This window comes from Homo sapiens, chromosome 12 (assembly GCF_000001405.40).
Source record: "Homo sapiens chromosome 12, GRCh38.p14 Primary Assembly".
Classification (NCBI taxonomy): domain Eukaryota; kingdom Metazoa; phylum Chordata; class Mammalia; order Primates; family Hominidae; genus Homo; species Homo sapiens.
Window position 1 is genome coordinate 21165204 of NC_000012.12, and position 19351 is coordinate 21184554.

The 19351-nt window shown below is 35.3% G+C and overlaps 1 protein-coding gene across 1 annotated transcript in view, besides 1 other annotated feature; it reads left to right on the plus strand.

Annotated features, from left to right (window-relative positions):
- The window catches only part of SLCO1B1 (solute carrier organic anion transporter family member 1B1), a 108603-nt gene that overhangs the window by 34010 nt on the left and 55242 nt on the right, over positions 1 to 19351 (plus strand). The window contains exons 3-7 of the mRNA NM_006446.5: positions 7447 to 7588; positions 9374 to 9506; positions 11573 to 11694; positions 13373 to 13519; positions 13719 to 13817. Coding sequence (NP_006437.3) covers positions 7447 to 7588; positions 9374 to 9506; positions 11573 to 11694; positions 13373 to 13519; positions 13719 to 13817 — 643 coding nt within the window. The remainder of the gene's footprint in view (positions 1 to 7446; positions 7589 to 9373; positions 9507 to 11572; positions 11695 to 13372; positions 13520 to 13718; positions 13818 to 19351) is intronic.
- Positions 16894 to 17395: an enhancer, noted in NCBI's record as "H3K27ac hESC enhancer chr12:21335031-21335532 (GRCh37/hg19 assembly coordinates)". NCBI's record gives its function as "activates a minimal SCP1, AML or CMV promoter by ChIP-STARR-seq in primed H9 embryonic stem cells {active_cell/tissue: H9 hESC(primed)}" and the evidence as "EXISTENCE:reporter gene assay evidence [ECO:0000049][PMID:30033119]".

Here is a 19351-nt window from a genome sequence, read left to right on the forward strand (position 1 = left end):
TTTCTTATCTCAATGTCAGTTGTCTCTTTCTGCCAATGCACATTTTATTTGATGATTGTGCACATTTATATCTCTGGTTTTTATTTAAATAAATTTAGAACATATAGCTGGAGACGGTAGCTCAAACTGAGGATGAAAATAGACATTTATCAAGGTTATTATGTAGCTAGCACTGCATGTACACAGAGGTATTTAGGGAGCCACACATATGTCCAAGGCAAGACATATGCTCATAAAACGTCTGAGAAGATTGTATCCTTTTACCTAATGCTAATCCCCAAGCTTAGAACAAGGCAAGTGAAAGGTCAAAGGGATAAAAAAATACAATAAACAAAATAAAAATTTACAAGAAGTTGTTATGGACTAAATATTTGTTCCCCTCTCCCCAAAATTGTGTATTGAATTTCAAAATCCAATGTGATAGTATTTGGGAGTCTTTGGGAGCTAAAGAGATCATGAGAAATTTGCTCTTATAATGTGAGTAGTGCCTTACAAGAAAATGCTGGAGAGCTCACTAGATTTTTTTCCTCCATGTGAGAATACAAAGAGAAGTTAGCTGTTTGCAGCCTAGGAGAGGGCCCTCACCAGAAATTGACCATGCTGGCACCCTTATCTCAGACTTCTCACCCTTCAGAACTGTGAGAAATAAATGTTTGTTGTTTAAGCCATCCGTTCCATCATAATTTGTGATAGCAGTCTGAACTGACTTAGACAAAAGTTCAACAGCAAATTTGAGCAGTTAGAACACAGAATCCGCAAACTTGAAGATAAGACAATTGAAATGATTAGTCTGAGAAGCAGAAAGAAAAAAAAAACGAAGAAAAATTAACAAAACATACGGAACTGTGGGACACTATCAGGTGAACCAGCATAACAATTACAGTAGTTCTAGAAAGAGAAGAGACAGAGAAAAGGGAAGAAATAATATTTGAAAAAAAAGTGGCCGAGAACGTCCCAAATTTGATAAAATATATGATCTCAATATCGTAGAAGCATAAGAAAATCCAAATAAACTCAGAGATCCACTTTGAGGCACATTATGATCAAACTGTCAAAGGCCAAAAAAATAAAAATAAATTCAGAATCTTGACAGCAACAAGAGTAGGAAATAATCATGGGCAAGAGTTCCTTAATAAGATTAACAACTGATTTCTCATCAGAGACCAGAAGACATTGAAATGATATATCCAATAAAGAACTGATATTCAAAAGTATGCAAAGAACATCTAAAACTCAATAATTAGAAAAATAACCCAATGATAAAATGAGGATGATATCTGAACAGATGCCTCACTGAAGAAGATATAGAGACAACAAATGAGCATGTGGAAAAATGCTCCACATCCCGTCATTAGGGAATTGTAAATTAAACAATAAGCTATGTCACTGTATACTTGTTAAAAGGACTAAAATTCCAAACACAAAAATATACCAAATACTGGCAAGAATGTGGAGCGACAAGAACTCTTATTTACTGCCAGTGAGAATGCAAAATAGTGCAGCCACTTTGGAAAATATTCTAATAGTTTCTTACAAATTTAAAGATAGGCTTACCATACAATCAAGCATTTGTAGTCCTTGGTATTTACTGAAATAAGTATCAAGTGGAAAGCATGTCTACACAACAGCCTACAAAGAGGTGTTTATAGCAGCCTTATTGATAATTGCCATAAGTTAGAAGCAACCAAGGTGTCCTTCAATATGAGAATAGGTAAAGCGACCTTGGTACATTCATGCAATAGAATAAGAATATTTTTAGTGATTAACAAGAAATGAGACATAACCAATGAAAAGACATGAAACATTAAAAGTATATTTATAAGTAAAAGAACGCAATATTAAAATGTTACCTACTATATGATTCCAACTATATGACAAATTTTATTTTATAAATGCTTTACCACAAAAGTTAATTCTAAAAATGTTTGCCACCAAAAAACAAACAAAAAACATGGTAGAGATCATCTTTATAGTTTTTTATAATAATCCTCTTGATAAAGATTATATCATAAGAAATCTTGACAGTTTACATTCAAGGATATGACATTTTATTTACAAATTAATGAAATCTAATAAAATGTGACAATGAAAATTTAGCTGAGTATAAAAGAACCTAAATTAGTAGACAGTGAGAGAGGAATGGGGGAGGGGATGTTTACAAGAAGTTCTACATCAGTACAGAACTTCATAAATTAGTGGATAAGAGCATGGTGAAGAGCAATTGTAAATCAAATGAAAATGTTGTGGAACTCTTATTAGTATCTGCAGCCACTCTGGCACTTTAAACATATCCAGTAGGAGAGGTTAATTCTCTCAGCAGGAGACCACTCACATTACTTTTTTCTCCCTATAAAATAATGCATCGTTTTGTCATGCTGGTAAAAAACACATAACATTAAATGTACCTTTTCAACCAATTTTTAAGTGTACAATTAAAAAGTGTAAAGTACACTCACATTGATGAACAACAGATCTCTTGAACTTTTTCATTTTCCATTGCTGAAACTTTGTATCCACTAAACTATCTTCTCCTCAGTTCTAAGTAAGTACCTTTCCACTTTCTGTTTCTAATTTTTTGACTACTTTAAATATTTCTTTCTTTTTTCTTTCTTTTCTTTTTTTTTTTTTTTTAAGATGGAGTCTCGCACTGTCACCCAGGTTGGAGTGCAGTGGTGTGATCTCGTCTCACTGCAACCGCCGCCTCCTGGGTTCAAGCGATTCTCCTGCCTCAGCCTCCCAAGTAGCTGGGATTACAGGTGACTACCACCATGCGCAGGTAATTTTTTTTTTTGTATTTTTAGTAGAGATGGGGTTTCACTATGTTGGCTAGGCTGGTCTCAAACTCCTGACCTCGTGATCCGCCCACCTTGGCCTCCAAAAGTGCTGGGATTACAAGTGTGAGCCACTATGCTTGGACTACTTTAAATATTTCATATGATAGAATCATACAGTATCTCTCCTTTCGTGACTGGCTTATTTAGCTTAGCATAATGTCCTTGAGGTTCATCCATATTGTAGCACATGATGTAATTTACTTATTTTTTAAGTCTGCATAATATTCCATTGTGTATGTATACCACATTTTCTTTATTCATTCATCAGTAGACATTTGGGTTGCTTCTACATCTTGGCCGTTGTTAATAATGCTGCATGAATATGCATGTACAAATATCTCTGCTAGATCCTGTTTTGAATTACTTTGACTATATACCCAGAAGAATAATTAATGGCTTGTATGGTGATTCTATTGTTTAGTATTTGTGGAACCTCCAAACTCTTTTTCATGAAAGCTGAACCATTTTATATTTCCATCAACAAACATGAAGTTCCTAACTTCTCTTACTCGTTATTTTCTATTCTTGAAATAGTGGCTTTTCTGATGGTTGTGGGGTGATATCTCATTGTGGTTTTAATTTGCATTTCCCTGATAAGTAGAAAGTTGAGCATCTTTTAATGTGCTTATTGGCTCTTTGTATATCTTCTTTGCAGAAATGTCTATGTAAGTCCTTGACCCATTTTTAAATTGGGTTGTTCTTTGTTGTTGTTTCCTTGGAAAAGTCCATATATTCTAGATATTAACTCCTCATCACTTATATTATTTGCATTTATTCTGTGCCATTCCATAGGTTATCTTTTCACCTGTTGTTTTCTTTTATGTGCAGATGATTTAAGTTTGATATAGTCTGATTTGTGTATTTTTAATTTTGTTGCCTGTGCTTTTTGTATCACATTTTAAAAATTGCCAAATTGAATGTCCTGAAGCTTTTCTTTTATTTTTTTCTGGAAGTTTAAGGTCTTACATTTAGGTATTTAGTTCATTTTGAGTTAATTTTTGCATATAGTATAGGGTAAGGGCCCAATTTCATTTCATTGCATGTGGGTATCCAGTTTCCCAAACATCATTTGAAGAGGCTGTCCGCTTCCTTGTACTAAATGAATGGTGTTTTGCTGCTTCTTTTAAGAGTCTCTGTTTGTGTGTAACTTTTGACAGTTTGATTATACTGTGTCTTGGTATAGAGTTTTTTAGATTTATCTTATTTGGAATTACTTGAGCTTCTTAAATGTTTAGGTTCCTTTATCTCTTAAGATTTAAAAAAATGGGGTCCATAATTTACAAGTTTTCAGACCTTTCTCATTTACTTCTCTTCTGGTATTCCCATAATGCATATGTTGCCCTGCTGGATGGAGTCCCATAATTTCTTTAGGCTCTTCTTTTCTTTTTGCTCCTGTGACTCTAATTTTAGAAGTTCTGTCTTTGATTTTCCTGATTTTTTCTTCTGCCTAGCCAAGTTACCTGTTGAGTCTTTCTAGTGAATTTTTCAGTTCAGTTACTTTATAATTCAACTCCAGAATTTCTGTTTGGTTCTTCATAGTTTATAATCTGTTAATATTGCTATTTTGTTTATTTGTTATGTTCCTCATTTCATTTAATTGTCTGTTCATATTCTCTTTTAATTCATTGCACTACTTGACTAATTTCAAGTTCTATGTCTGGCAATTCCTATATCTTCATTTGTTTTTGGTCAGTTTCTGGAGATGTAATTTTTTTTTCCTTTTAATGTGTGAGAATCCTTTCTTTCTTTTTATACTTTGTATTATTTTGTTGTTGAGATTTTAACATTTAAAAAATCAGTCAACTCTCCCAGATTTTGTGAGATGATTTTCCATAAGGAGAACTCTCCTCACTAATTCTGAATAGAGATTCTGTGGCCTACTCATGCTTTTTTTCTAGTATGTTTTCCTTTCTTTCTCCTTTAGGCTTGTGTGTGTGATCTGTTTGAAAAGGTTTGTTGGTTTCTATAGAAGACCCTCCCCTGGGGCTTGAGGTACAGTGGCCTTTCTGGGGCTGCATTAAATTGTTGTACTGGTGCTCCACCTCGTGTCTCTGTCTGGAACTGCAGTTTTTGGTGTACCTTTGCTTGCAAAGACCGCATTTTTATTAGTACTTGAATATAGGCAAGTCAGAAGCCTGTCCTTGGGCAACCTCCCTAAAAGTCAAAATATTGAACATAGGAGATTTAAATGTTTCCTTCCAATTGCATTGCACAGGGTGGAGTGAGAAAGACTCTAGTGAGAGAGACTGGAAACAATCATGATTTTTCTTGCCAGGTTGTTTTCACGATAGCCTGGAGGTACAGAAACCTTGTAATTGGTTCTGAAGTTCTCACAGAGGCATTTAGTACATATGTTGTTAATATTGTGTCTTGCTGTTGAGGTTCCAGGGCTGTTCTGCTCTCTTGCTGATGTCACTCTCTTCCACATTTCTTAGTCCTTTTTAATAAAATGATTTTTTAATGATTAGGACCTGAACAATTTTCATCACTATTCTATGGCACAAAGACTGCATACATTTTTACAAGATGTTAGAATTGACTATCTTTGAAGAAAATCTTCATAATTTTTGTCTAACTCTGTTGCCCCTTTCTCCTGTTTTATTATTCCCATCATCAACTTAATACAACTAGTTTTGATACTCTTCTACATTTTATGCTGTTTCTTAGATAACTTTTTACATTTTATTTTAAAACTTTTAGTTATCTCTATAAGTTGTATCATTTAATAAATCTTTTGAATTCCTTTTATCTTCATTGATAGCATATATCATTTGATAGTTTCTTATGCAGAAAGGAACACACCCACATTTTGTCGGCTATCAAAGAGTTTTGTTGGGCCTTTTATCTCTGTCCCCCAAACATGGCCTAGGGCCAGACACAGAGTAGGTTTTGGTTATATAAATGTTCACTCATTATTTCTTAAGCATCTTTGTGACAGACACTGTCCTAATCACTGGGGACGGAGCAATGAACAAAACAGACAAAAACCTATGACTTGATGGGGCTAATATTCTGCTGTGGCAATATAAAATAAACTCATAAAGGAATAAATGTATTGTGAGCAGAAAGGGGTGCAATTTTAAAGAGATTGATCAAGGAAAACCTCACTGTGAAAGTTCCACTGAGCAAAACTCTTAAGGGTGTGAAGGAATGAATGATAGAAATACGACTATGGGGAAGAGCCTTTCATGTCAAGTGAAAAGCAAGAACAAAAAGCCTGGAGCAATATAATGAATCTGGAATGCTCAATATACAGCAACAAGGTCTAATGTAGCTGGAGAGGAATGACCAAGGACAAGAGTAACAAAGTATAAGATTAGAAAGATAAAGAGGAATATTTGTGGGGAGGTGGGTGTAAAAAAGAGGATAGGTTGTTTATGGTCTCATAGGTTATTGGAAAAACTTGATATGACTATAAGTTACATAGGAAAACAGAGGGGCAGCATGATCTATTTCTGATTTGTAAAGGACTTCTTTAGCTACTTTGTTGAGAAGAGACTGTTAGGCAGATGTGCACAGAAGTAGAAACATGGCTCAGGAGGCTCTTGCAATAATTGAAGCTAGGCATGGTGGTGGAAACCACTGGGAAATATAGGAGGTAATTAGAAGAGGTCGTTTAGTCAGTTCAGGCTGACAGAATAGAATAGACTTGGTGACTTAAACAACAAATATTTGTCTCTCACATTTCCGGAGGCTGAGAATTCTGATATCAGGGTTCTGGCATAATTGAGTTCTGATAAGGGCCCTATTCCTGGTTTCCAGAAGGCCATATCCTCATTGTGTCATCACTTGGGGGTAGGGGAGAGAGAGAGAGAAAGAGAGAAATAGAGGGAATCCCTAATTTCTTGTCTTATAAGGGCACTGATCTTATCAAGAGGGCTCCATTCTCATGACCTAATTTCCTCAAAAAGACCCTATCACCAAACATCAACACACTGGAAATTAGAGTTTCAACATATAAATTTGAGGTAGGGGATATAAAGATGTAATACATAACAGGGTAAATATTAATAGTAGAGAGCCCAAAGAAATTTGTTTATGGATATAAATGTGAGCTGTAATAGAAATGATTAATCGATACATTTTATTAACATGAAATTGACAAATAAAACATCTATAACCACTGCATCTTACACTGGATGTCAGTCACTTGTGTTGGTCATAGAATTTTTCTTTGCCTCTGCAAAGTTCTGTTTTTCAGCTGGCTTCCTGGAAATGCTGCCTTTGAGAATGTACTGCCACTCCCCTCCCAGTTAGCCAATGCTATTCATATGGAAATAAAGAATAGCTCACCATCATGGCCATCTGAGAACATGATGTAGCTTTCTATAAATCAGTTAATGAGATTAATTTAAAAATAACAACCTTAACTGTAGTGCTCTAATATTTTGATATTATAACCAAATTAGAAATGATGCTTTATCAGTGTAGTGATAATAACATTTAAATGGCTGAGTAGTAGTACCTGGTAAAAGGGAAAACTAAGTATGGTTTTTAAGATACAAATAATGTTTTTAAGTAAAGAAGAAAGCTATTATAATTCCATGTGCCTATTGACATTATATAGTCCTTCGATTAACCATTTTCCCCCTTTCCTTCTGATTTTTCTTAGATGTTCTTGGCAGCTCTGTCACTCAGCTTTATTGCTAAGACACTAGGTGCAATTATTATGAAAAGTTCCATCATTCATATAGAACGGAGATTTGAGATATCCTCTTCTCTTGTTGGTTTTATTGACGGAAGCTTTGAAATTGGTAACATTTATTTTCTATTTTAATAACCAAACTTGCAAAGTTAAAAAATATATATGCTTTACACCACTGGTTATCAACTGGGGTAAATTTATCTCTCACAGGCAATTTGGCAATAACTAAAAACATTTGTGGTTGTCATAACTGCACAGGGGTTGGGGGCAATGGAAGTGCTACTGGTATCTAAAGGTAGAGGTCAGGGGTACTGCTAAATATTCTATAATGCACAAAGAATGATGTAACTGAAAATGTTGATAGTGAGGATGTTCAGAAACCCTGATTCTACACAAATTCATTTTTTGCAAACTAACGCCATGTCATACTTTACCTCCCCTCTCTCAAGATGAAGAAACTTTGGGAGAGGACTGTTATTCTTAAGGAGAAAGGAATCTTTTCAGAGCAACCTACGTTAGACCTCTATTGTTTCACTGAGCACACAAAAATCTTTCCTTTGAAATACTGAAGATATTTTGTTGTCTTCATTTTATGTTGGATTTCTCCAATAACAGCTCAGGGAAAACATTTTCTGGTTCATATTTGTGTTTTTCCCTATTAGTAATTTTTTTCTAGATAATTTATAAGATGAATATTAAATTTTCTGGGAATTTTTCTCTTTAAATTTTTTTCTTCTAAATTTCCATTGTTTTTCTTTATGTTTCATTAATCTTTGATGCCATCATCCATCTTACCATATTAAGTTCTAATTTGTATATTTAATCTGTATTTTATATTTACAACAGCACTTTATTATTCCCTTATTATTTTTAGGCTGCCAGTTCTGATTTCATGGATGCAATGTGCCCTTGTACCCGTAAAGGTACTAAATTTTTTATAAAGTAAAAAAAAAATTTACTCATTCATTTTGGTGCTTTTATTCCAAATTATTTTTATGCTATTTTTTTTCAGAAGTGCTCAGTTATCCTTAACTGCTATTTGTTTATTGTTATGCCTGAGGCTCCAGATGGATTAGAAGTGGTCATGACTTTTTTTTTTTTTTTTTTTGAGACGGAGTCTCGCTCTGTCGCCCAGGCTGTAGTGCAGTGGTGCGATCTCCCCTCACTGCAAGCTCTGCCTTTCTCCTGCTTCATCCTCCCGAGTAGCTGGGACTACAGGCACCCGCCACTATGCCCGGCTAATTTTTTGTATTTTTAGTAGAGACGGGATTTCACTGTGTTAGCCAAGATGGTCTCGATTTCCTGACCTCGTGATCCACCCACCTCAGCCTCCTAAAGTGCTGGGATTACAGGTGTGAGCCACCATGCCTGGCCTCTGGAAGTTCTTAATTAAGTTCCGCCTTTCTGTGGTTTAATAGCACCTCTGTCCATCTATTTTTATCGTTAGTATGAAACTTCTTGAAGACAGATGCCATGGTTTATTCTTTTTCAAGTAACTTTCTTATTTCTGGCTCTGAGCTTCATGTCAGGTTCATGTTAGAAATTTAAATAATATTAAGAATAAATAAAGAAACGCATGAAGGAGCACCTTACCCTCATCAGGAAGATTCATCTCCATTTTTCTTCATTCCAGTATAATCCAGTCAACTCCAAATTTTTCAATAAAATTTTACTTCACTAATATTGCCAAGTAATTCAAGTGCTTTTTTTTTGTATTTAAAACAACTTTTCAATGAGTGGTCTAATGTAGGTGAATTCACCTTCTCAATTAAATCACATTGTCTTTGAGGGAAGGCACTATGTCTTGGACTCTATTTGCATCCATTCTGGGGTTTTCAATTCTAGACGCAAAATTGAACTAAGCTGTATCAACATAATTTTGTTCCCTTTCTAGGAAATTTGCTTGTGATTGTATTTGTGAGTTACTTTGGATCCAAACTACATAGACCAAAGTTAATTGGAATCGGTTGTTTCATTATGGGAATTGGAGGTGTTTTGACTGCTTTGCCACATTTCTTCATGGGATAGTAAGTGTTAAAAAAAAAAAAAACCTCTGTGCCACTATCAGTACCTTGTAAATTAGGAGTAGAATTTTATTATTATCCCTTTAAATAGGCAGTTACCTTTTGAGAAGATACCCACTAAGTGTGTACAGAAATGAAATAGTGTCTATTTGTCTACATAATCATTTTATTTATCGTAGCTTTCATATACTTTGAAATAACAAAAAGACTAAACTGTAGAGTTTCAAATGAAATAAATAGGCTTTTTATGAATTTTTAGTATAACGTATATACTGTACGTCTTTGCCTATAAGATTTTGATTATTTTTTATAAGACCTCAACACTTACACCTATACCCACTGAAGTATAGTTGTTCCCATCATTTCACTGAAGCTGTTATTCCTAAGGTCACTGTGTAGTTATAATTACAGTCAGATGCTCCTGAGAGAAAAGTTAAAATGGCACATGGGGGAGAAACTTATTTTTCACATTACAGTTAATGTAGCCAGTTCAAGGATGATATGATTCTACCTCTTTCCATCATAGTGCTATGCCTTGCATGGTCTTGGCTTCATGATCCAAATTGTGGCAACGTATTTCCAGGCAACAAGATAGAAGAAGAAAAGAATAAGAAGCAACAAACAGTCCACACAGGCTGAGGCTTAAGAAGCATTTTCAGAAGCAAAATATCTCTACTGACTTTACATTTACCAGATGTTAGTTACATTTCACACATAGATATATAAATGCTGAAAAAAATAGACATTATTCCAAGTTACCAAGTTCCCGGTTAAAAATCCCAAGTATAATTACTGTGGAAGGAAAGAAGAGAGGATATTAGGAGACAATGAGCAGTTTCTGTTAGAGACACCAATTACTTACTCATTGCCAAATCCAGCAATGACATCATTTGCTCACCATATTAAATCCATTCACCCACCATATTTGGCCCTTATAGGAAGTTTCTTCTTAGTGGTACTGCTCTAGCTTGTTTTCATCATACTGCACTCTCTTGATTCATTTTCTATCTTTGTGTCTTCTTCATCATGTCCATTTTTTTTCATCTGCTTTTGGCACCATACCGTCAGAGTCCTCTAATTTCCTTTTTAATCTTTATTTATGATTCTTCATGAGTTGTATGGAAAATAAACCTTAAAGGCAAGTATCACAGCTTCATCTTCCATTCTACCCTAAAATTAAGGACCACAATCTAGATCAGCATTGCTCTAAATATGCCATAATATGTGACACTTTTGCACCTGGTATTTCTACAGCCTTGAATACCTTTGTTTCTTTGTCTACCCTTCTATTCATCTTCCAGATTCGTTTTACCTGTCATTCTCATGTTGATGTCTTCTCTGATCTATTCCCGCAACCTCCAAGCAAAGTTGATCATATCCTTTGTCTTTGTGACAACTCAGGACCTTATATATTAAACTTATAACTTTTATCATCTATGTTTATACTAGTGTGAAATTCCCTAAGTACAAAAACTGTGTGTTTTATTTCTAGCTCTTTGAAGCTTAGCATAATGCCTGGAATACAGTAGGCTGCCTTTAGAGCTCACGTGGTACCTAATTATTTATGGATATTAACATCTCTGTTATTCCTATCAAGTTTTCTCTCATCTAGTTGAAATGGATTAGATTTTATTTTTACTACATTTTGAAGAGTCATACATTAGAGCGTGTGTGTGAATATGTGTCCATGAAAGAAAATCTGACAGACTGATCATCTTTGAAGATAATTCAAAAGGATGAATGGTTACACACAATTAATAATTACTTTTTAAAAAGGTGAAACTAGGATATTTCATATCTTGACCAAGATATAACCACTCCTAGGATAATAGCAAGGTGATAACCCACTTAGCCTGGGGTGTATTGAATTATCTTTCTTGCTGGACACTTCCATTTCACTTTTACCCATCACATCTCTTAAAACACATGCTGGGAAATTGACAGAAAGTACTCTGGTAATTTGGGGAAGATAATGGTGCAAATAAAGGGGAATATTTCTCTGTATTTCTAGGAAAAGTGAAAATATTCAGTAGATAAGCAAAATGTTTAATTCAGTGATGTTCTTACAGTTACAGGTATTCTAAAGAAACTAATATCAATTCATCAGAAAATTCAACATCGACCTTATCCACTTGTTTAATTAATCAAATTTTATCACTCAATAGAGCATCACCTGAGATAGTGGGAAAAGGTAAGAATTAATATTGACAGTAAAAAGTCTTCTAAAATGTATACATTTAATTACATCTCTAAAAATTGTTGTGATATTCATTAGCAAAATTTAATTAAGAATGAATAGGAAAAACATTTGACTCTTACAGACATAATTATAGTGTTAATATACACAGTTCGCCCATTAACAACACAGGTTTAAACTACGCGTTTTCACTTCTATGCAAATTTTGTCCATCTGAACTGGATGATAAACCTGCCGGTAAGAATATCTGACATTTTCTATATTTGGATTGAACAGGGCCAACTGCAGAACTTAAGTGTGCATGAATTTGAGAACACACAGGCAGCCCTGTAACAAATTCCTTAATATACCAAGGGATGACTGTATTATATGTAAAAGCATTTAGAAGTAGATCAGAAAAGAGAATATTTTCAATAGGAAATTGACAAAGAATATATGCATTAAAGTAAAACAGAAGGAAATGGTATAAATATGTAAATAATATAACTTTGCTTTCATTGCAAAAGGCAAACTATTATATCATTTAAAGACTTTTTGCCTATTATAACACAAATTATAAATTATAATTGCAAATTGTACTGCTAAAGATTTTTTTAACCTATTAAATAGAAAAAGACTAAAAATACATAGAGACGAGGTAGAGGCAAAAAAGGATTTCACATTGTATATATTGCTGGAAGTGTATACGTTTGTAAATCTTTCTGGAGATTCATTATCAATATATGTTAAGAACAAAAATATACTTACCTACTTAGTCTGAAATTCTGCTATTATTGATTAATCTTAAGGAAATAACCAGGAAACTGCAAAAGGACTTATTTACAGTTATAGTCATGATAAACCTAATAGAATAAAACAACAAAAAAGAAATTAAAACATAAGATACTGAATAAACACATTTGGAAACTTATTCAGCACATTACTGTCCAGTCATTAAAGTTTTGATATTAAAGAAATCTTAACAACATGGAACAATTGTTATAATATGGTGTTAACTGTGTATACCATTTAACAATATGAACTAGATTTTTAAATATATAATGGATATAATGAATATAATGTATATGTTTTGTGCAAATCTAGAAGATATATAAAAAAGCTTGAGGTGATCTTCTGTGTGTAATGTGATTACAGATAATTTTTACTTGTTTGTGCTTTTCTGTATGATATGGCTTGACTGTGTCCCCACTCAAATATCACCTTGATTGTAATAATCTCCACATGCCAAGAGTGGGGCCAGGTAGAGATAATTGAATTTTGGGGGCGGTTTCCCCCATACTGTTCTCGTGGTAATGAAGAAGTCTCACAAGATCTGATGATTTTATAAATGAGAGTTCCCCTGCAAAAGCTCTCTTGCCTGCCACCATGTAAGACATGGCTTTGCTCTTCCTTCATCTTCCGCCATGATTGTGAGGCCCCCCAGCCATGAGGAACTATGAGTCCATTAGACCCTTTTCCTTTATAAATTACCCAGTCTCAGGTATGTATTTATTAGCAGCATAAGAATGGACTAATACACCATATTGTCAAAGTTTGCAAAGTGAATATAAATTACTTGTACTTGTAAATTAAAAAAAAATAAGTAGAATAATTAAGAGTTTACAAGTAGTTAAATTTGTAATAGAAATGCTAAAATTAATGTTTAAAATGAAACACTCTCTTATCTACATAGGTTGTTTAAAGGAATCTGGGTCATACATGTGGATATATGTGTTCATGGGTAATATGCTTCGTGGAATAGGGGAGACTCCCATAGTACCATTGGGGCTTTCTTACATTGATGATTTCGCTAAAGAAGGACATTCTTCTTTGTATTTAGGTAATGTACACAAAATATTAAATTGTATGATCACTTTCCCTTTGTCTACTTTTGAAATAGTAGAGTTACTAAACTTATTATTTTACCTATTAGAACATATATTTGGGTATATGTATTGTATCATATTTCTTTTAAAAACATGGTGAATAAGAACCATGCATTCTTGGCATCTAGTAAAATTGCTTTATAATATTTTCAGGTATATTGAATGCAATAGCAATGATTGGTCCAATCATTGGCTTTACCCTGGGATCTCTGTTTTCTAAAATGTACGTGGATATTGGATATGTAGATCTAAGTAAGTACAACCAGAACAAGGTACCATGATAACGTCTTTCTAAGCACACATGCGAAAAACATTTTTTCAAATAACTGAATTCACTCTTTCAATAGTCCTTTGCTTAATATAATTAGAAAGTTACAAGTAGGAAATAAATGTATTACTAATCAGAATAAATATAAAATCCAGCTCCTATTTATACTATCTTTATAACTAAGTGTAAAATGAGAGAATGTAAACAAATTTATTTTCATGAGCTTGGTCCAAAATAACCAAATGTAAAATGTCTCCCTCCCAAACTGACTGTCCAGTCAAGTAAATTTTATTTTTCAGTTGATGGTGGCTTGGATGTTGATGTGTACAACTTAAAGTTTGCTTTGCTAAAGTCTTCTTGTGGCTGCTGCATTGATTTATGGCTGGAGTCATTTGAGAGACTTCACTGTGTATTTTATGGTCATTTTCCCTGGTCCTAGCAGAGGGCTTGGCGTATGGCAATGTTCAGTAAGTACTTGTTGAACAAAGGAATAAAGCAGAGGACACATAAATAAAATCTATGATTTTCTTCTTCATTCTCAGAGCATACTTTCCTTCTTATCTCATAGATGAAAGAGATGCCATGTTATAAAAACTGTCTCAACTTCAGGCCCTTTTCCCTAAAAATATTCTTGCACCATATCTATCTTTATCTTCTTTTTCTTTTTTGCAGCTCAGTGGAAAATATATACATCTGTATCCAATGTTGATAGATCTAGCTGGAGCTTAGATTCTCCCTTCCCGCTTCTTTATCTCCATCTTCTCTTTTATTCAGCAAACACACCCAAGTATTTCCCATCTTTATATGTAGATACAGTTTTTTATACCCCCACACAACTTTCCAGCTGAATCCTTTTTTTATTCCTCTTTAGAACCAAGCACCTAGGAAAATATCAGCTAAATTAGCTAAGATATCTCACCTTCTCACCTCCCATCCACTTCTAAATCCAGTATAATCTGCTTCTGTTATTAGTGAAACACAATCAATTTCTACCTACTTTACTATAGATTTGTAAATGGGTATATTTCTATCATTTGCGTTAATTGATATTTCCAGTGCTTCTTCATCCATTTTCCCTCCTTAGATATCTTATTAGTACCTAAAGCACAATATGTCAAAATCTGATCTCATCACCTTACCTCCAACCCCACTGTATTCCCTATATTCCTCCTTTTGATGAATATCCATACCTTATTCAATTATTGACTGAGTTACTGTGCCCTGTAATCTCACATTTCTCTGCATTTACACTTGGTAAAACTTTTCCCTCTTTTTCATTTGCATAGTTCTTGAAGCCTCTTCCAAAATGTGGATCCTCTTAGAGAAGCCTTACTTCACCACTTTCCATTAGTCTCAAATTAATAGCCAAGAGCATGCCTTTATTGTAACCCTTCTCACAATGAGCTATTAATATTTGTGTGCTTACTTGCCATCTCTTTACCACATGACAGAATGGCATGTTCTTAGCAAATAATAATTAGTTAAGTTTGTGAATAAATAAATATGATTTTCCACCTCATTAGGCCTTCAATAGATCATTCCAAAGAGATCAAAGGATTCATTTCCAAGATGGGATAGACATCACAGTGGGCCAGCAACAGCCAAAAACTTGAAAGTGTTTGCTAATCTAAAACTATAAAGAAAATACTTGATAAAATGTTTTACATGTTCAATTTTAGACATATGCCTTAGAGTAGCTACACATTATGTACATTATTTCTACTCATTCAACTCCAGTTTCATCACTGCTTTATCACGAAGAGTACAGAAATACGTGGTAAATGTCCTTAGGTTAATTATTTTATAAGCTCTCTAAATAAGAAATTATTACATTATTTGAGAATTCATCACCATACAATTTCTAACATTGAATGTTCAGATATCATTATATCTTCTCTTATTCAGTGATGAGTATGAGCTTCACTTACAAAGTATACTTTGGCAAACTCCAATGCCTAAAGGAGCTGAAGACATAAAAATAAATGAGTAAAGAGTGCCAGGAACAGGAATTTAGGGTGTGATGGTTAGAATAGGAGAATTCTTTTGGTTGTGAACTGCTCTCCCCATGCATCCAAAAGCACTTGTGTTCCTCAGCTCTGGCCTATTCTTTTAATGCACAAATTTAGGCCCTGCATTGGCAAGGACTTCTGATTGGTTTCCAAGAAAATCCAAACACCAAAATTTTTGTGTAGAATTTTTCAATTTTTAAGACTGTGAGTGAGCCAAGAAAAACTTTTTCTCACGTCCTATCTAGCGCGATTATGACCCTTAGTTACTATGTGTAGAACAGTGAAAGAACAGAAAAAAAAGTCATCAAAATTACATTTGTCACAGGTGATGAATAAATACTTTGCATGTAGATGGAGTCACTGATTTAACCAATCATTTCCTGAAGTCTGAGTTGTTGATTATGACATGGTATGATCATATAAATCAAATTTAAACCCAGATCTGTGCATACTTGAAAATAATTATTTCTAGGTAGTTTGTTATCAAGTCAATGTTATCTTATATTAGTGAGTTTTCTTATAGATTAGAGTAATGGCACCATTTAATCGTGCCACAAACTTCTGTGGTGTGTGTTTCTGTATGCATATGCTTTTTTATTTCTTATTATTTTTCTTTTATTATGGTAAGAACAATTAAAATGACATCTACCTTCTTAACAGGTTTTGAAACATACAGTGGACCCATGAACAATAGGTTTAAATTATGCTCGTCCACTTATGCACAGACTTTTTTCAATAAATATATTGAAAAAATTTGGGGAGATTTGTGAAAATTTGAGAAAATTTATAGATGAATTGCATAGTGTAGAAGTAAAGGAAACCCTAAGAAAAAGGTATATCATGAGTGCATAAAGTATGTTTAGATACTCCACTATTTTATCATTTACTACCATAAAATATACACAAATCTATTATAAGAAATTAAACTTATTAGAGGGTACAAGATGGCCAACTAGACACACTCAGGAAGCACCACTTCCACTGAGGAAGCCCAAAATATTGAATAAACTAACATACTTCGAGCATATCTTTTGAGAGAAAACACTGAAAGTCAATAGAGAGGTGACACAGACACTGAGGCTGAAGAGAGAGAAAGCTGGAAACCCAGTGCAGGGTTGTTGAACACCAGAGATAGTTTCCAGCCCTGAGTGGCTCCTAGCTAAGGGGTGAGTAAAGTGGCAGTGGGACAGCCTACTCTCACTGTTGACATCTGGGATCCTACCTACAAGAGAACCCACGACCCCCAGAGACATTGGAACAGGCAGGGGCATCTGCCCAGAGAGTAGGCAGAAATAGAACTACAGCCAGCCTTGAACCCAGGGGGTTTTGCATGTTGGGTAGCTGCAGCAGAACGCAGCCATAGGCGCCCAACATCCAAGGCTCTCTTTCTTCCACCAAGTAGCTCTCAACTCACCTGACTTCTGAGCGAAGAGACAGCGGGGCCAACTTTCCTGTGAGCTGGGACACATCTGTATTGTAGGCCCTTCTGCCCGCCAGTCCCTCCCAGTACTCCTGCCTGGCCACACCTGCAAGAATATGTGCACAGCACAGCCTCCACTGCTCAGCCTGAGGGTTTTTTCAAGGACCCCCACCTGAGTACTTCCTCAGTATCCTTGGAGCACTTCAGATCCCCCAGTGTAGCTACTGCCTGAACCAGAGGGGCCAGACAGTGGAGACACAGGCTAGTCCCAAAACCCCAGGGCTGCAGTGCATAGCTTGGGAGTGTGAGCTGAGATTGGTGCCCAGCACTCAAGCAGAGGAAGAATTCTGAATCTCAGAACACTGAGAGGGGTGAGATGCACGGGTTCATGGGCCAGTGCAGAATGAGACATGCCTCATTTCATAGGCCCAGTCCAGGAAGGCTGTGTCCTGTCTGCCAGCTGCTGCCTCTGCCTAAGGGAGCTCCATGGCTCAGAACAGTTTCCTAACAAAAGAAATGCAAGTGTGGCACCAGTGACCAGAGCGGGAGATTGGGGGGGTGTCCCCTATGGCCCAGGCACAGGCCTGTTAAGGGGGTCATCTCTCTTGCCCGCTGCCACAAGCACTGTTGTAAACACACTGAAAAACAAAAGAGTTATGTCCCCGAGTAACAGCTTATCTGCCAGCCATTACTCTTAAGCACCATTTACTGGATCACAGCTCAATTTAAAACATCTGCCTATATATTTGAGACTGTACCTCACTCTGTTACCCAGGCTAGAGCGCAGAGAAGCAATCGTAGCTCACTGCAGCCTCAAGCTCCTAGGCTCAAGCCATTCTCCCACCTCAGCCTTCTGAGTAGCTGGGACTACAGGCACACACCACTACACTTGGCTAATATGTGTTATTTTCTGTAAAGACAGGGTTTTCCATGTTGCCCAGGCTGATCTCAAACTTCTGGCCTCAAGTGATCCTCCCACCTTAGCCTGGCAAAGTGCTGGAATTACAGGCTTGAGCCACTGTGCCTGACTTCAAAAATAGTTTGTCAGTATACATTGCATATGAAACTGAGAGCAAGAATCTAGCTATAAATAAAAATATTGTGCAGAGTCTTATCCCAGAAATTAAACCAACTGACCATACTCAACTTATACCACAGTTAAAGGAACACCATTCCTTCAAGATGAAAAAGAATCAACAAGAAATCTGGCAATTCAAAAAGTAAGAATGTACCTTAACCTTCAAATGGGTGCATTTGAGCTCTCCAGCGATGGTTCTTAACCACATTGGAATGACTAAAATGACAGACAGGCAATTCGGAATCTGGATGGCAAGAAAGCTCATTGAGATTCAGGAAAGTGCTGAAACACAATTTAAGGAATTCAATAATTCCAGTAGAATGATCCAAAAGCTGAAAGACATAATAGCCATTAAAAAAACACTACTTCTGGAATTAAAAAAAATACTACATGGATTTGATAATACATCCAGACCTTTAGCAACAGAACATACCAAAGAGAGAAAAGAATCTCAGAGCTTAAAAACCAGTTTTTATAATCCACTCCATCAGACAAAAAGAAAGAAAGAAAAAAAAACATAAAAATGAAGAAAACTTCTAGGAATTTGGTTTCCTTCTGTAAAGAAACCAAGCCTATGATTCATTGGAATTCCTGAGAGAGAAAAAGAGAGAGTAAACAACTTGTAAAACGTATTTGCAGATATAGTCCATGAAAATATCCTCAAACTTGCTAGAGAGATTGATATGCAAATTCCTAAATTACAGAGAACCCCTTTGAGATGCTATAAAGATGACAATCCCCAAGGCATCTACTCATTAGATTCCCCAAAGTCCACATGAAAGAAATAAATATTTTAAGATTTTTTTGGGGGGCAGCTAGAGAGATGGATCAAGTCACTGTCAAGGGGAACCCCATCAATCTTGCAGAACACCTTTGAGCAAAAACCATACAAGCCAGAAGAGATTGGGGACCTATTTTCAGCACCCTTAAAGAAAAGAAATTTCAACCAAAAATTTAATATCCCACCAAATTAATTTTGTAAGTGAAAGAGAACTAAACTCCTTCTCATAC